The 18,143-nt window shown below is 41.4% G+C and overlaps 1 protein-coding gene across 7 annotated transcripts in view, besides 4 other annotated features; it reads left to right on the plus strand.

Moving 5' to 3' along the window:
• Positions 1-18,143, plus strand: part of UST (uronyl 2-sulfotransferase) — a 329,961-nt gene that overhangs the window by 110,952 nt on the left and 200,866 nt on the right. The window lies entirely within an intron of this gene.
• Positions 5,866-6,375: an enhancer, noted in NCBI's record as "NANOG-H3K27ac-H3K4me1 hESC enhancer chr6:149184983-149185492 (GRCh37/hg19 assembly coordinates)". NCBI's record gives its function as "activates a minimal SCP1, AML or CMV promoter by ChIP-STARR-seq in primed H9 embryonic stem cells {active_cell/tissue: H9 hESC(primed)}" and the evidence as "EXISTENCE:reporter gene assay evidence [ECO:0000049][PMID:30033119]".
• Positions 9,149-9,198: a silencer, noted in NCBI's record as "silent region_17654". NCBI's record gives its function as "represses an Ori minimal core promoter by ATAC-STARR-seq in GM12878 lymphoblastoid cells {active_cell/tissue: GM12878}" and the evidence as "EXISTENCE:reporter gene assay evidence [ECO:0000049][PMID:35858748]".
• Positions 10,952-11,246: a silencer, noted in NCBI's record as "tiled region #942; HepG2 Repressive non-DNase unmatched - State 22:ReprW, and K562 Repressive non-DNase unmatched - State 22:ReprW". NCBI's record gives its function as "represses a minimal TATA promoter and a strong SV40 promoter by Sharpr-MPRA in HepG2 and K562 cells {active_cell/tissue: HepG2 | K562}" and the evidence as "EXISTENCE:reporter gene assay evidence [ECO:0000049][PMID:27701403]".
• Positions 15,304-16,503: an enhancer, noted in NCBI's record as "MED14-independent group 3 enhancer chr6:149194421-149195620 (GRCh37/hg19 assembly coordinates)". NCBI's record gives its function as "activates an origin of replication core promoter dependent on BRD2, BRD4, P300/CBP and CDK7 cofactors, and independent of MED14, by STARR-seq in HCT116 cells {active_cell/tissue: HCT116}" and the evidence as "EXISTENCE:reporter gene assay evidence [ECO:0000049][PMID:35650434]".

An 18,143-nucleotide genomic window follows, 5' to 3' on the forward strand; every position in this document is an offset into this window, starting at 1 on the left:
AAAGAGTATGTTTACTTGTAGCAACATTATAGAATATATTGTGTAATGCAAACATACACAATGCCTTCTAAGACTGTGAAAGCATTTTTTATTAGTCAGTGTTCTGTAGAGGCACAGAACTAATAGGCTAGATGTATATATGAAGGGAGTTTATTAAGGAGTATTGACTCACACGATCACAAGGTGAAGTGCCACAGCAGGCCATCTGCAAGCTGAGGAACAGGGAAGCCAATCCAAGTCCCAAAACCTCAGAAGTAAGGAAGCCTACAGTACAGCCTTCAGTCTGTGGCCAAAGGCCTGAGAGCCCCTGGAAAATCACTGATGTAACAAGAGTCCAAAAGCTGAAGAACTTGGGTCTGATGTTCGAGGGCAGGAAGTATTCAGCATGGGAGAAAGATGGAGAAAGCTGATTTGATGGTGCCCACCCAGATAGAGGGTGGGTCTGCCTCTCCAGTCCACTGACTCAAATGGCAACACCCTCACAGACATACCCAGGAACAACATTTGCATCTTTCTTTTTTTTTTTTTAATTATACTTTAAGTTCTAGGGTACATGTGCACAATGTGCAGGTTTGTTACATATGTATTCATGTGCTATATTGGTGCGCTGCACCCATTAACTCGTCATTTACATTAGGTATATCTCCTAATGCTATCCCTCCCCCCTTGCCCCACCCCACAACAGGCCCGGGCGTGTGATGTTCCCCACCCTGTGTCCATGTGTTCTCATTGTTCAGTTCCCACCTATGAGTGAGAACATGTGGTGTTTGGTTTTCTGTCCTTGCAACAGTTTGCTCAGAATGATCGTTTCCAGCTTCATCCATGTCTCTACAAAGGACGTGAACTCATCCTTTTTTTATGGCTGCATAGTATTCCATGGTGTATATGTGCCACATTTTTTTAATCCAGCCTATCATTGATGGACATTTGGGTTGGTTCCAAGTCTTTGCTGTTGTGAATAGTGCCGCAATAAACATACGTGTGCATGTGTCTTTATAGCAGCATGATTTATAATCCTTTGGGTATATACCCAGTAATGGGATGGCTTGGTCAAATGGTATTTCTAGTTCTAGATCCTTGAGGAATCTCCACACTGTCTTCCACAATGGTTGAACTAGTTTACAGTCCTACCAACAGTGTAAAAGTGTTCCTATTTCTCCACATCCTCTTCAGCACCTGTTGTTTCCTGACTTTTTACCATTCTAACTGGTGTGAGATGGTATCTCATTGTGGTTTTGATTTGCATTTCTCTGATGGCCAGTGATGATGAGGATATTTTCATGTGTCTGTTGGCTGCATAAATGTCTTCTTTTGAGAAGTGTCTGTTCATATCCTTTGCCCACTTTTTGATGGGGTTGTTTGATTTTTTTCTTGGAAATTTGTTTGAGTTCTTTGTAGATTCTGGATATTAGCCCTTTGTCAGATGGGTAGATTGTAAAAATTTTCTCCCATTCTGTAGGTTGCCTGTTCACTCTGATGGTAGTTTCTTTTGCTGTGCAGAAGCTCTTTAGTTTAATTAGATCCCATTTGTCAATTTTGGCTTTTGTTGCCATTGCTTTTGGTGTTTTAGTCATGAAGTCCTTGCCCATGCCTAGGTCCTGAATGGTATTGCCTAGGTTTTCTTCTAGGGTTTTTATGGTTTTAGGTCTAACATTTAAGTCTTTAATCCATCTCGAATTAATTTTTGTATAAGGTGTAAGGAAGGGATCCAGTTTCAGCTTTCTACATATGGCCAGCCAGTTTTCCCAGCACCATTTATTAAATAGGGAATCCTTTCCCCATTGCTGGTTTTTGTCAGGTTTGTCAAAGATCAGATGGTTGTAGATGTGTGGTATTATTTCTGAGGGCTCTGTTCTGTTCCATTGATCTATATCTCTGTTTTGGTACCAGTACCGTGCTGTTTTGGTTACTGTAGCCTTGTCATTTAGTTTGAAGTCAGGTAGAATGATGCCTCCAGCTTTGTTCTTTTGGCTTAGGATTGTCTTGGCAATGCAGGCTCTTTTTTGGTTCCACATGAACTTTAAAGTAGTTTTTTTCCAATTCTGTGAAGAAAGTCATTGGTAGCTTAATGGGGATGGCATTGAATCTACAAATTACCTTGGGCAGTATGGCCATTTTCACGATATTGATTCTTCCTATCCATGAGCATGGAATGTTCTTCCATTTGTTTGTGTCCTCTTTTATTTCTTTGAGCAGTGGTTTGTAGTTCTCTTTGAAGATGTCCTTCACATCACTTGTACGTTGGATTCCTAGGTATTTTATTCTCTTTGAAGCAATTGTGAATGGGAGTTCACTCATGATTTGGCTCTCTGTTTGTCTGTTATTGGTGTATAGGAATGCTTGTGATTTTTGCACATTGATTTTGTATCCTGAGACTTCGCTGAAGTTGCTTATCAGCTTAAGGAGATTTTGGGCTGAGATGATGGGGTTTTCTAAATATACAGTCATGTCATCTGCAAACAGGGACAATTTGACTTCCTCTTTTCCTAATTGAATACCCTTTATTTCTTTCTCCTGCCTGATTGCCCTGGCCAGAGCTTCCAACACTATGTTGAACAGGAGTGGTGAGAGAGGGCATCCCTGTCTTGTGCCAGTTTTCAAAGGGAATGCTTCCAGTTTTTGCCCATTCAGTATGATACTGGCTGTGGGTTTGTCATAAATAGCTCTTATTATTTTCAGATATGTTCCATCAATACCTAGTTTATTGAGAGTTTTTAGCATGAAGGGCTGTTGAATTTTGTCGAAGGCCTTTTCTGCATCTATTGAGATAATCACATGGTTTTTGTCATTGGTTCTGTTTATATGCTGGATTACGTTTATTGATTTGCATATGTTGAACCAGCCTTGCATCCCAGGGATGAAGCCCACTTGATCATAGTGGATAAGCTTTTTGAGGTGCTGTTGGATTTGGTTTGCCAGTATTTTATTGAGGATTTTTGCATTGATGTTCATCAGGGATATTGGTCTAAAATTCTCTGTTTTTGTTGTGTCTCTGCCCGGCTTTGGTATCAGGATGATGCTGGCCTCATAAAATGAGTTAGGGAGGATTCCCTCTTTTTCTCTTGACTGGACTAGTTTCAGAAGGAATGGTACCAGCTCCTCTCTATACCTCTGGTAGAATTCAGACGTGAATTCGTCTGGTCCTGGACTTTTTTTGGTTGGTAGGCTATTAATTATTGCCTCAATTTCTGAATCTGTTATTGGTCTATTCAGGGATTCAGCTTCTTCCTGGTTTAGTCTTGGGGAGGGTGTATGTGTCCAGGAATTTATCCATTTCTTCTAGATTTTCTAGTTTATTTGCGTAGAGGTGTTTATAGTATTCTCTGATGGTAGTTTGTATTTCTGTGGGATCGGTGATGATATCCCCTTTATCATTTTTTATTGTGTCTATTTGATTCTTCTCTCTTTTCTTCTTTATTAGTCTTGCTAGCGGTCTATCAATTTTGTTGATCTTTTCAAAAAACCAGCTCCTGGATTCATTGATTTTTTTAAGGTTTTTTTGTGTCTCTGTCTCCTTCGGTTCTGTTCTGATCTTAGTTATTTCTTGCCTTCTGCTAGGTTTTGAATGTGTTTGCTCTTGCTTCTCTAGTTCTTTTAATTGTGATATTAGGGTGTCAATTTTAGATCTTTCCTGCTTTCTCTTGTGGGCATTTAGTGCTACAAATTTCCCTCTACACACTGCTTTAAATGTGTCCCAGAGATTCTGGTATGTTGTGTCTTTGCTCTCATTGGTTTCAGGGAGCATCTTTATTTCTGCCTTCATTTCATTATGTACCCAGTAGTCATTCAGGAGCAGGTCATTCAGTTTCCATGTAGTTGAGCGGTATTGCGGGTGTTCCTTAATCCTGAGTTCTAGTTTGATTGCACTGAGGTCTGACAGACAGTTTTTTGTGATTTCTGTTCTTTTACATTTGCTGAGGAGTGCTTTACTTCCAACTATGTGGTCAGTTTTGGAATAAGTGTGATGTGTGCTGAGAAGAATGTATATTCTGTTGATTTGGGGTGGAGAGTTCTGTAGATGTCTATTAGATCTGCTTGGTGCAGAACTGAGTTCAATTCCTGGATATCCCTATTAACTTTCTGTCTCATGGATCTGTCTAATGTTGACAGTGGGGTGTTAAAGTCTCCCATTATTATTGTGTGGGAGTCTAAGTCTCTTTGTGGGTCTCTAAGGACTTGCTTTATGAATCTGGGTGCTCCTGTATTGGGTGCATATATATTTAGGATAGTTAGCTCTTCTTGTTGAATTGATCCCTTTGCCATTATGTAATGGCCTTCTTTGTCTCTTTTGATCTTTGTTGGTTTAAAGTGTGTTTTATCAGAGACTAGGATTGCAACCACTGCTTTGTTTTGTTTTCCATTTGCTTGGTAGATCTTCCTCCATCCCTTTATTTTGAGCCTATGTGTGTCTCTGCACATGAGATGGGTCTCCTGAATACAGCACACTGATGGGTCTTGACTCTTTATCCAATTTGCCAGTCTGTGTCTTTTAATTGGAGCATTTAGCCCATTTACATTTAAGGTTAATATTGTTGTGTGTGAATTTGATCCTGTCATTATCGTGTTAGCTGCTTATTTGGCTTGTTAGTTGATGCAGTTTCTTTCTAGCATCGATGGTCTTTACAATTTGGCATGTTTTTGCAGTGGCTGGTACTGGTTGTTCCTTTCCATGTTTAGGGCTTCCTTCGGGAGCTCTTTTAGGGCAGGCCTGGTGGTGACAAAATCTCTCAGCATTTGCTTGTCTGTAAAGAATTTTATTTCTCCTTCACTTATGAAGCTTAGTTTGGCTGGATGTGAAATTCTGGGTTGAAAATTCTCTTCTTTAAGAATGTTGAATATTGGCCCCCACTCTCTTCTGGCTTGTAGAGTTTCTGCCAAGAGACCAGCTGTTAGTCTGATGGGCTTCCCTTTGTGGGTAACCTGACCTTTCTCTCTGGCGCCCTTAACATTTTTTCCTTCATTTCAACTTTGGTGAATCTGACAATTAGGTGTCTTGGAGTTGCTCTTCTCGAGGAGTATCTTTGTGGCATTCCCTCTATTTCCTGAATTTGAATGTTGGCCTGCCTTGCTAGGTTGGGGCAGTTCTCCTGGATAATATCCTGCAGAGTGTTTTCCAACTTGGTTCCATTCTCCCCGTCACTTTCAGGTACACCAATCAGACGTAGATTTGGTCTTTTCATATAGTCCCATATTTCTTGGAGGCTTTGTTCGTTTATTTTTACTCTTTTTTCTCTAAACTTCTCTTCTTGCTTCTTTTCATTCATTTGATCTTCAATCACTTATACCCTTTCTTCCACTTGATCGAATTGGCTACTGAAGCTTGTGCATGCATCACGTAGTTCTCATGCCATGGTTTTCAGCTCCATCAGGTTATTTAAGGTCTTCTCTATGCTGTTTATTCTAGTTAGCCATTTGTCTAATCTTTTTTCAAGGTTTTTAGCTTCTTTGCGATGGGTTCGAGCATCCTCCTTTAGCTCGGAGAAGTTTGTTATTACTGATTGTCTGAAGCCTTCTTCTCTCAACTCGCCAAAGTCATTCTCCGTCCAGCTTTGTTCCGTTGCTACCAAGGAGCTGCATTCCTCTGGAGGAGAAGAGGCACTCTATTTTTAGAATTTTTGGCTTTTCTGCTCTGGTTTCTCCCCATCTTTGTGGTTTTATCTACCTTTGGTCTTTGATGATGGTGACATACAGATGGGGTTTTGGTGTGGATGTCCTTTCTGTTTGTTAGTTTTCCTTCTAACAGTCAGGACCCTCAGCTGCAGGTCTGTTGGAGTTTGCTGCAGGTCACTCCAGACCCTGTTTGCCTGGGTATCACCATCGGAGGCTGCAGAACAGCAAATATTGCAGAACGGCAAATGTTCCTGCCTGATCCTTCTTCTGGAAGCTTTGTCTCAGAGGGGTACCCGGCCGTATGAGGTGTCAGTTGGCCTCTACTGGGAGGTGTCTCCCAGTTAGGCTACTCGGGGGTCAGGGACCAACTTAAGGAGGCAGTCTGTCTGTTCTCAGATCTCAAACTCCATGCTGGGAGAACCACTACTCTCTTCAAAGCTGTCAGACAGGGACGTTTAAGTCTGCAGAGGTTTCTGCTGCCTTTTGTTCAGCTGTGCCCTGCCCCCAGAGGTGGAGTCTACAGAGGCAGGCAGGCCTCCTTGAGCTGCGGTGGGCTCCACCCAGTTTGAGCTTCCCGGCCACTTTGTTTACCTACTCAAGCCTCAGCAATGGCAGGCGCCCCTCCCCCAGCCTGGCTGCCACCTCGCAGTTCGATCTCATACTGCTGTGCTAGCAGCGAGTGAGGCTCCATGGGCGTGGGACCCTCCGAGCCAGGCGTGGGATGTAATCTCCTGGTGTGCCATTTGCTAAGACCATTGGAAAATCGCAGTATTAGGGTGGGAGTGACCTGATTTTCCAGGTGCCATGCGTCACAGCTTCCCTTGGCTAGGAAAGGGAATTCCCTGACCCCTTGCACTTCCCGGGTGAGGCGATGCCCCGCCCTGCTTCGGCTCATGCTCCATGGGCTGCATCCACTGTCCGACAAGCCCCAGTGAGATGAATCTGGTACCTCAGTTGGAAATGCAGAAATCACCCGTCTCTGTATTGCTCACTCTGGGAGCTGTAGACTGGAACCGTTCCTATTCATCCATCTTGGAACTTCCAACACTTTGCATCTTTCAATCCAATCAAGTTGACGCTCAATATTAACCCTCACCGGAATGTTATGTGTTGAGGCAATAATTAATAGTTATCCTTGGTTGTTTCAGAAAATGTCATGATTAATAGTTATAGTAAAGGGAGGAATTGTAACTTGACAAAATAGTTTGGTCTAGTGTCCAGTTTACAGGGCATTGAGATGGTTTTCTGGTTTCCCTTGTTTTGCCCTCAGTACACAATGCTCAGTATTCAGAAAGGCTGATGTCTATTTTCTCCACAAGTGCTAATAAAAATTTTTAAAATGTGGTGTGCATTATTTATATAGTTGTTTTATTCATAAAAGATTTAAAATCTAGGTAAGCTAACTCAAAATGCGACTTTGTACTCTGCGATTTTTAGGCCTAGAAGTGGTCATGACTGTGAACATTATGTTGGCTTGGAACCTTTAAAAGTTCATTTGGTCTGTACTGCAGGTGGCATTTGGATGAAAGCACAGGTGGTACATACAGTACTTCGATGACTCCATCTGTTTGGTGTGGCATGTTTAAGAATGACTTCTGTTAAAGGGATTTGACTCGAAATGCAAGCCCTCTTTCCTGGCGTGTTGGTCATTTTTGTGACATTAGTGGTGGAAAAGAAGCTCAAAATGGTCTCTGGAGTGGAGTAACAGCAGGGCTTACTTTTGAAATTGTCTTTCAAATGCCCTTTTGGGCATGGGGTCACCGTGTTTAAAGCTTTTGAAAGACTCCCCACAGAAATGAATCAAGTGTTGCATTTTCAGTGTGGTGTCCAATTTTGTGATCAGAGGTACTGTAGAGGAAAGTCGGGTGTTTTCTTAAATTCCTTTTTCTTTTTGGAAAAGTCATTTACTTATTACGTTTAATATAAAGAATGTTTTAAAAAGAGAGAGAGAGAGAGAGAAAACACCTGGTTGTTAGACAAGCTGGCTCCATGCCAAAGTGAAATGAAACATACAGCAATCAAATGTCATTAGCATCCAGGTCCGGCATTGACCCATTCTTTCCTTGCTGAAATTGTGTGTGTGTGTGTGTGTGTGTGTGTGTGTGTGTGTGTGTGTGTGTGTGAATTCAGAGAAGAGGCAAATTAATGTGGCTTAGAGTGTTGAAAAATGGACTTAAGAAAGAAAATGGGGATAGGAATGGCTAAAATTTGGATAGGTGGAAAGATGGGATAAAAACACTCCAGGTGAGGAAACAAACTTTTGTTAACTTGACTTTGAATATTTTGGGGACTATGCATGGAATGTATGTCTGAGGCTTTTAAATTGAGAAAGCATGCTTCGTTAGACAATTATCTCTTACATGTATGCACAGCCTTATGTGACATTATTTATATAACTTTAGAATATATGTGTGTGTATGTATATGTATATGTGTGTGTATGTATATATATATACAAATACATATACATATTGGGGAAAGAAAGAATTAATTAGACTTTAAATTCTTCCCTGCTTTTTTCCATGACAATATTGATTATTTTATAATCAATATTTAGTGATAACTAAATATATTTAGTGATAACTAAATAAATTTAGTGATAACTAAAAAATGAAATAACATAGTTTAGAAAACCTACGATGAGCTCCCAAACCTTATTTCTCTCGTTTATTTATTTGAAAGACATTTTTCAAAATCTGCCCCTTTATTAAATTGCTGATGTTATACAGACAGAAAAAACCAGTAGTCGGGGGTAGATCTGCAAAATAAGGACGTCAACTATGGGCTGTGGAAACCGGCTCTTCCAAATCTGTGCTGCCCCTACCATTGGCTAGTTGTCCCTTCCTGGGGAAATTTTTTGACCCCTTGAGGGTTGTTTCCTCGTCTACAAGATGCGAAAACAACATCCACCTGAAGATTGAATGAGAGCACTACCTAGTGAGTTGCCTAATGAACAACTCATGATAGACATAATAAATGCCAGTTGCATTCTATTTTCCTGTACCTCAGAAAAATATCAAGGCTTCCCTACCTAAACATTCATTTTCCACTGCTTCATATCTCTATTAGCTAGTATAACTTCATTCTCTCTTTCCAGCTTTCATCAGCACAATTTCATTATAATATTAATTTCTCATTTATAACCCCGTGTTATTGTTTTTATTCTCCTTACAAGTTGTTTTTGCTTCAATGCCTCTTTGTACTATCATGAAATATATTTCCTCCATTGCTGAGTGATCTCTTCAATTATTCTCTGTTACATGTACCTTCCTTTGATTTATCTTTTTACGACCTCCACAAGGCATTTTTTTTTTCTTTAGGTTTGTAATGGCTTTGCTTGATTCTGAAACGGTCATGGCCTCGAGGGCAACCAGAGTCTTGTTCTTACTGCCTGCTCTATGGCTTCTCTAGTAAAACCTCAGCTGTGAAAGCAAGTATCTTTCACTTCTCCTATGCTCAACTAACTTCAGTCTTTGTGTCCTGAGATCAGACAATCTCACATCCACGTAACCCCAGGTCCTACCACTGCACTGGGCATAAACCAACACATTTGCCTGCTAGTCACAGTAGAGAAAAATCTGTGAAACCTTTGTCATTTGGCAGGCACAAAGTCATTCTTGAGAGAAAAACCCAGTTTGCATTAATCAAACAGCTTTCCCTTCCCATTTCTACCTTTCTTTGAGGCATTGTTGAATACACACACACACACACACACACACACACACACACACACACACATATATATGTACGTATGTATGTATTTTTGAAAGCCATTTTATTTGTAAAATTCTGTGCTATAGCACCGACTCTTTATAAAGAGTCATACCCATGTTAAAATGTCTTCTTGATATCATTAATATCCTTCTTCTTGATATTTATTATTCATACTTTGATATGGTTTGGCTGTGTCCCCATCCAAATCTCATCTTGAGATTGGGTGGGATGGAGCTGGTGAGAGATAATTGAATCCTGGGGGCAGTTTCCCCCATACTGTTCTCGTGGTAGTGAATAAGTCTCGTGAGATCTGATGGTTTGATAAGGGGAAACCCCTTTCGCTTGGCTCTCATGCTCTCATCTGCCACCATGTAAGATGTGCCTTTCACCTTCCGCCCTGATTGTGAGGCCTCCCCAGCCACGTGGAACTGTGAGTCTATTAAACCTCTTTTTCTTTATAAATTATCCAGTCTCAGGTATGTCTTTATCAGCACCATGAGAACAGACTAATACACACTTGTTTGTAGGATTGAAATCTACATGATAAATAAGGTGATTTTTAAAAGATGAGCAGTTTGCTGTGCTTGTTGCTGTAAGGGATCTTCAGGGAGTCCCTGAATCTGAGAATTGGAAGTAAGGTTGGAAGATCATCCTGTGCCTCCCTCCATCCAACACAGTAATCTTCTTAATGTCTCAGTCAGAGGCTGTTCATCACTGATGAGCCTGCCACTGATGAGCAGTCCTGGCATCATCACTTCCTCTGCAAAGGACACTGTGATCTGAGGCCCCACTCCATGTCAGGCCACTCCTTAGACAAAAGCTCTGTCTTCTGATGAGCTTCTGCTCCCTTTTGCACCATGATAATGACTTTATTTTTAGTAAGGATAGACTCACTCAATTGATGTTTTCTGCTGTTGGGGAAAAATTGTTTTATTAAGAAGCATTTTCCAACAAGTAAGTTGATGTTAAGTAGGCTTGGATATATTTGGAATTCACGAATGTGTTTTCTCCATTAGTTCCCTGAAAACCAGAAAACTTGACGTTTGTTTTAATGCAAAGATGAACTCTGGTTTTGTCCAACAGAGCTAGTGCTGGCCTTTGCTTTCAAGCCCTGTAATCTGCATCAACCCTCAAATTCAGTGATTCAAAAGTGAGTGACTCACTTCGTCTTTGAAAAGACCGTGAATATTTCTAGATTTATGAGCAATTCAAAACAGCCAGGCTTTTAGAAGGGATTTCCCAACTCATTTTGTTGAAAGGTAGGACTAAGACTTCTCTAGAAAAGAAACCGATCTACTAAGTACTAAAGAGTATTTATGAGCCACGGTAGACTTTATTTTTCAGAATCATACTACAAGTGTAGGAATACCCAAACCCTGCCAGGGTTTTGAAAATTACATTAATTTATGCCCAGGTATAACCCCCCCATCATAAATCCTGAAAAATGTGCAGGAAGACTGTGACAGGCCATTCTAAGAGCGTAACAAGGGCTACATCTTTCAGCACCAGACTGATGTTTATGTATGTGACTACTTGGAAGATGTTTTACTTAATGTACCATGTTCTTAAATTGGCTCTATTTTAAATATAATCGTAAGAGTTACACTTTATGTTTGTATGCCAGGTAGTTTATAAATGATGATTTTAACCACTCCCCGTTTCACACCACCCCAGCCTTATGAGGTAAGTTTTATTCTTCCTGCTTTACCTCTAGGGAAACTAAAACTCAGAAACTGCAAGACCTTGCCAAGGTTACGTCCAATAAGTAGATCACTACCTTGGGCTGTTGGCTGCCATACTCACATTCTTCCCCTGCATTCTTTCCCTTGTGCCTTCAGCCTATCTTTGGAAAGGAATTTCTGATGTTAAGGCACCTATTTGTTTGGCTTTGGTGTAGTTTTGTTTTTTGGTGTTGTGTTTATCTGTGCATAGAGTAACATATGGAGGTCTGGGAATCCTTGTTTATCTTCCAAAATTATAGTTCTGTGAACCACAAAATTTCACGTAAATCCTATTAAAGCTGATGTGAAATAGAACTAGAGAGATGATAGGAAAAGGAGAGTGATGAATTTATTAAAGCTTACTCCCTTTTAATAGACACCATCAGGCTCATGTGTTAGGTTGCTAGTTAATTTTGTGAGGATTACCTTTCCAAATGACTTCAATAATTTCCACTGCTCTATTCAAAACCTTATTTTACATTTGAAGGCCTAATAAAGAAGAAACTATGATCCTTTCCTTGTGTTACTTGAAAGTTTATAGGAAAGCATAATCCCAGATGGGATGGTTCTATCTGTCCCACAACATCTGTATAAGACCGACGCTGGCATCAAACGCATTTCATCCACACACGCTTCCTAAATCAGCATCAGCATTTATGAGCAACTCTTCAAGTCTCTTGTTCACATGCATGTCATTTTAATGCAGTTTATTTGAAACATCCGGTAGAATGTTCCTTCTTACCCGTTTCCCTAAAGCATGAGAAGAATTGGCAAGTGATGAGTCATTTCTCTGTCAAACATAGGATTGATGCATTTAGAATGTGGAAGACACAGTCATGACCAGTCACACCAGGCCATGGGCCAGAAACCCATCAAACAGGAGGCAGAGCTGGAAGCACAATTTTATTTTACCCATTTAAAATTATGTGTGCATTGACACCAACCTTCATGCACGTGACCCATAACCCAGCAAGAATTATTTCATTCATAGAAAGTCACCAAGGCCTACTTAGTCCTCACAGACTACTTCTATTGGATTCTGGGTTTAGCTTTCCCCCAGCTTCACAGTGGTAATGTTTCACACACACACACACACACACACACACACACACACACAGTGGCAGCAGGAAACCAGTCTACCCATTGCCTTGCTGTGTATACCACCCTGGACTGAGACTTGAACCCAGTCCGAGCCCAGCTCTGACACTACCCAGCCATGTGACCTGGGCTCAGCTTCCTTTCCTGTGAAGGGTGAGAGTCTCAGTGCCCTCCTGACCCCTGGGGTTGATGGGAGGGGCTGCTGAGATGATGTGTGACAACATTAAAGTTCTGCACGCATGTAAGCTCATTTCAGATGTGCCCCAATCCCTTTGGCATCTTTGTGAGGACTTCCATTTGCCTTTTGAATGAGACTACCTCTTCTGATTTTGGTTTCAAGTCGTAAACACATCTTTAACTTAGACTCACCATCCAGCAGTCCCCTGGGTATGCAGATGCCCTGCACTCTTCCCAGTGCCACACCCTGCTGCAGGTGCATGGTGCCCTGGCCAGGTGCGCCTGCCCTTCTCTTGCTGTCAGCGTCCCTCTTTTCTTCCAGATACAGCTGGGGAGACTCCCTTTACATGGAGATGTGCCTGACTCCACTACAGGATGCATTTACTCCGGTCTTCTCTTGGTTACTCACAGTGGCCTGTTCCCTCCTGACCTGGGGCCCAGCACAGGCTGCCCACCATCTCCTGGGATGCTCTCACCCTCTTTCCTGCTCTTCCTGGAGTTCAGGGCCTCTGTTCTCCCTTCTCACATACATCACTCTGTATTTACTCTTTGAAAGACTCATCACACTCATAAATCAATACTTATTTTATCATCCTTTGTTTAATGTCTGTCACCTCTTTTTCTGCAGACTTCTGAGGGACAGTGCTATGGACTCAATGGCTGTGTCCCTCTAAAATCTATATATTGAAGCCCTAACCCCCAGTGTGATGATATTTGGAGGTGGGGCCTTTGGGAGGTGATTAGGTTTGAGGGTAGGGCTGCCATGATGGGATTGGGGGCCTTATAAGGACGAAGGAGACAGCCAAGCATTCTCTCCCTCTCTCTCTCTCTCTCTCTCTCTCTCTCCCTCTCTCCCTCTCTCTCTCTGTCCTTCTCTCTCTCTGTCCCCCTCTCTTTCTGTCATGTGAGGACACAGGCAGGATGAGGGCTCTCACTGGAACTTGAGCATGCCAGCAACCTGAACTTAGACTTCCTGCCTCCAGAACTGTGAGAAATAAATGTTTGCTACTTAGGCCACCTAGTCGGTGGCAATTTGTTACAGCAGTCCAAACTAAGACTGTATCCCCAGGATCCAGCACAATGCCCAGCATAGAGATTTTCAGTAAATCTTAGATGGGTGCAGTAGTGACTGTCCTGCCTCTGATTTCTACCCGTCACCTGTCACACTCCCTTTATACTTTCCCAGACAGCTAGCATTTCACTCACATTGCTGCACAGGCCTGGTCTCCTATGAGTTTGAGTTATTTACTGAAATTGATATTCACAAGTATTACTTCTTTTCAACAAACATGCTAAAGCATGAACTTCTACATTAGTGTAGTAACCTTGGTAGGCTGTAAACTCCCCACAGCCACATGCAGGACACTTGGAGTATTGCTTGTAGGAATTGACTTCAAGGCTTGAAGCTTTTAAGAAAAGTTCTCTCAATGAGGATATATGTGTGTCCTTAGAGAAAGAATTTCATTACATAAGAGAAACCCACTCACTCCAATTCAGGTTTGGAGAGTAAGCTAGGTAAGCAAGCTTGAAAATTGTGACCACTTAGGGTCAAAAATGGCAGGTAGTAAGGTTGTCATGCTGTGGAGTGAGCAAGCACCTGGGGCTGTTCTTAACCTTCACTATTAACCAGCCGTGTGTCTTAGCTGAATTACTTAACCTCTCATTGCTTTGATTATTTCCTCTGTAAGTTGAGGGGTGTGGTGTACTATATCTATGGTTATTTTTCTGTTCTGAAATCGTGTATGTGGCTGTGTGTGTGCATGCACGTGCATGTCGCGGGTGAAATGTACTGACTCGTAACAAAGCTTGAGAGAAAATCAGGCTTAGTACAATGGCAGTTTGGTTGGATTAAAGCCCCCTTTCAAAGACAACACTCTTATCTGTTGATGTTCTATATGTTTGTTAAGTAAAGCAATACATCAAAACTTTTCAAATCATGGAATATTTAAAAAATGATAATATTTTGATGGTACACTGAAGTAAACTGGTGAGATGATGGTGTCTATATGAGGCTTGATGAAAACTTTCACCGCATATTTTTATGTAATTATTCATAAAACAAAATACAAAATATTAGGGAAGATATTAAATTTTGAAGTTGTGGGAAACCTCCAAATAAAAAATGTATCAGTTTATAATTGAGAGTGATGACCTCTCTTCGGATTTCCAACTTGAAATGCTTCATTCAGCAGTCTTCAGAGAGTCACCACTTACAAGAAATTTTGCTCATAGAAAGAAGTGACAAAAAATAAAAAATCATTTTCACAACTATTAACTTCCTATTGCTGCTGTAACAAATTACTATAAATGTAGTGGCTTAAAATAACACAAAATAATTATCTTACAGTTCATCTGAACTGGGTTTTAATGGGCTCAAATTAAGATGTCAGTAGGGCTGTGTTCCTTCTGGAGGCTCTAGGCAAGAATTTGTTTTCTTGCCTTTTCCAGCTCCTAGAAGCTGTCTGCACTCCCTGACTCGTGGCCCCTTCCTCCATCTGCAAAACACATCCTCCAGCGTCACATCTCTTTCTCCCACTCTGACTGTCTTGCCTGGCTCTGACAAGGACACTGTGATTACATTGATTCGTCCCAAGTAATCTAGGATCTTCCAGCATCCTGGAAGCTGCCTGCATTCTTTGACTCGTGGTCTCTTTTGCCACGTAAAGTAACGGACTCACAGGTTTTGGAGATGAGGACGAGGACAACTTTGGGGGAATCATTGTTCAGCTTATCGCAACCACCCTTCAAAAATTCCCATCAACTGAAATTATGTTTAAAGAATCAAGCAGAGTTTCCTTTTCTGTTGCTGACAAATGTGATGCTGAAATTTCTTGCAATAATGTGAATGGATTTCTAATCCAAGATCACTTTTTATATCAAATATTTCAAAGTAATGGTGACTCTGCAGAATGGGCACACCCTTGCAGAGCAGCCATCTTGTAGCTAACCGGGACCAGGAAAAGGACACGTCAGCTAGAAGAAGACAGGAGGTGGCCAGAGGCTCTGAGTGGCTGCTGAGATGGGGGCCCCCATCTCACTTGTCCCTCTCCACCCCCTGTTATCACCCTGCTGAGCACTGTGCTGGCTCCTTGGGTTCCCAGGTGATGAGGCTCTTCAGCAGCCCTTTGTCCTCGATGGGCGAGGGACACTCTGCCTGAAGTACACATCTAGCTGGGGGGTGCTGGATGTTGCTCCCAGAGCTGAGACCCCACTTTGCTTAGGCCACCCCTGATCTAGACAGATCAGCCTCAAAGGGATGAAGATCTCACAAGCCTGCCGTGGCTCCCAGGTGGGAATCTAAGCAAGGCAGGGAGTGTGTGGGTATGGAACAGGGCTTCAGAGTCAGGCTACTGGTGTCAAACCCAGGACCTCCTGATGATTAGCTGCCTGACATGGTGCAGGTCACCTCACCTTCCTGAGCAGCTTCTATTGTAAACTGGGGTTCTTGCCTCCTAGGTTGCTGTAGAATGAGGTCCGGAGAGTGCTTTGCACAGTGCTGAGAACAGCATCAATGCTGATCACTGATGATGAGAATGAGGATGCTGGTGTTTTCAGCCTTGTCTTGTTTTCTTTCTCCCAGGGTAAATTCTTAGTCATCTTCACCTTACCTGCTCTGTACTTATCAGGGGTGCTTCGTGCAATAAGCACATGATGGAAAGTGTCAATCGTTGTGGCAGCCACATGACATCTAGGTCCTGATAGAAGAGGCCCTACCCGGCTGCTGGTTAGAGGCTTGCCATGTGCAGGGCTGGGGCTGCTGCGTTAGCAGGTGTGTTAGCATTCCACAGGTGAGATCAGTTGACTGTAGCAATTACTTCAAATGGAATGAAACAGAAGCCTTAAGTGATTCCATCTCTCTTTGATACTCCATTTCTACCTGCATAAGATCATATAACATTATGATGAATTCCTGAGCTAATTTGGAAATTATACATATTTATATTTCGGTTGTTATTATAGCAGTAGTGCACTGATCATTTGATTCCGAAAGTAATTTCCTTCTACAAATTTACCCTTGACATTCTAAAATGTATATTCAGATTTAATGGAAAAAAAGATGTGTTATAAAACAAGGCAGTGTTTTTGAGCCTGAAATAGTAAGGGAAGAGCATTAATTTGCTTTTAAGTTTAATTAGAAATGGAATGACTTTCTAAATCATAATTGATAGCATTTTAATTAGGATATTATTTTTCAGTGTCTGGAATGCTCATTTTTCACATTTGAGATCAAGAAAGTACTTTTCGGGATATGTTTGCCTTTGTTAACCGGTTGGGTGAGCCTTCCAGATTTTTTTAAGCAGATATTTTTGTAAAAATATTTAAATATTGATTGTTAATAAAGCCATTTGTTTTAATTCAGTGGAAAATAATTTTATTAAGGCTTAAATAAAGCTGTGCCAGCAATTTTCCTTCATCACAGTGTTTTGGGGCTGCATTAATTATAAGCAATGGAGCTGCTGGAGACATTTACACAGCACACAAATTCCTCATTGTTAGCAACGGCTGGTGTGTGCTGACAGCTACCTCTTAGAGAAATGCAACCCATGGTTTAACGGTGGAAAGTGTGGCATTAGCATAATTTCTTGGCAGGGACAAAGCTGGGGTTGCAGCATTGTCTTCAACAGTGACTCCTTCGTTAACAGTGTCTTATCAAGGCCTGGACTCCCGGGGCGACATGCCGCCACATGATCGTGTCATAGGTAACCGGAATCCTGTGGGAAATGGCTGCTTCTGAATAAAAGGGGAAGGATTTAAATTGCTTATGATTATGATTTGAAAAGGACCTGTGGAAGAAAGATTCTGAAAGGAATTGCTTGTGTTTGATCAAAACTGACACAGTGTCACGGCAGCTTCTTTGACATTGACAGTAATGCATGTTATAGTTTCCATAAGGTGATCTAGAATTAAAACATTGTATTCTTCAGAGACCAATTCAGACTAAAATAGATCTGCTAATGCAAGGCTTCAGAGTCAAGAATAAATTATAGCCCCTGAGGTTCTGGAAGTTCATTTGCATATTGTTAAGTGTAGTTCAGATAATTGGAAAAAATTTTTTGTAAATTTTAGAAGATATATCAAGACAGTATTGGAAAGTAATAGAAAATATCAAATAATTATTTTATATTAATATTTGTCCTTTATACAATAAACTATTCCCTGACCTCAGGATTCCTTTTGATTTTGTGAATAATAAATAGAATTATAAAACTAAATATAACTGGCTGGGTGCGGTGGCTCACGCCTGTAATCCCAGCATTTTGGGAGACTGAAGTGGGCGGATCACCTGAGGTCAGGGAGTTCAAGACCAGCCTGGCCAACATAGTGAAACCCCATCTCTACTAAAAATACAAAAATTAGCTGGACGTGGTGGCACGCATCTGTAGTCCCAGATACTCGGGAGGCCGAGGCAGGAGAATTGCTTGAACCTGGGAGGCGGAGTTTGCAGTCAGCCGAGATCGCACCACTGCGCTCCCGCTTCGGCGACACAGCAAGACTCCGCCTCAAAAAAACAAACAAACAAGGAAGCTAAATATGACTGGTAAAATTTGGTAATATAAGATGAGGAAGTAGCGACCATTTATTGAGCATTTACTGTATCCTGGACAGGCAGTGTGATAAGTGCTGCACACATTTAATACATCTAATTTACATTTGATTTTAAATTTAAATTTACATTAAATATATGTATTAAGCTGTTCTTGCATTGCTATAAAGAAATACTGGTGACTAGGTAATTTATAAAGAAAGGAGGTTTAATTGGTTCGTGGTTCTGTAGGCTGTACAGAAAGTATGGTGCTGGCATCTGCTTCTGAGGAGGCCTCAG

This window comes from Homo sapiens, chromosome 6 (assembly GCF_000001405.40).
Source record: "Homo sapiens chromosome 6, GRCh38.p14 Primary Assembly".
Lineage (NCBI taxonomy): Eukaryota > Metazoa > Chordata > Mammalia > Primates > Hominidae > Homo > Homo sapiens.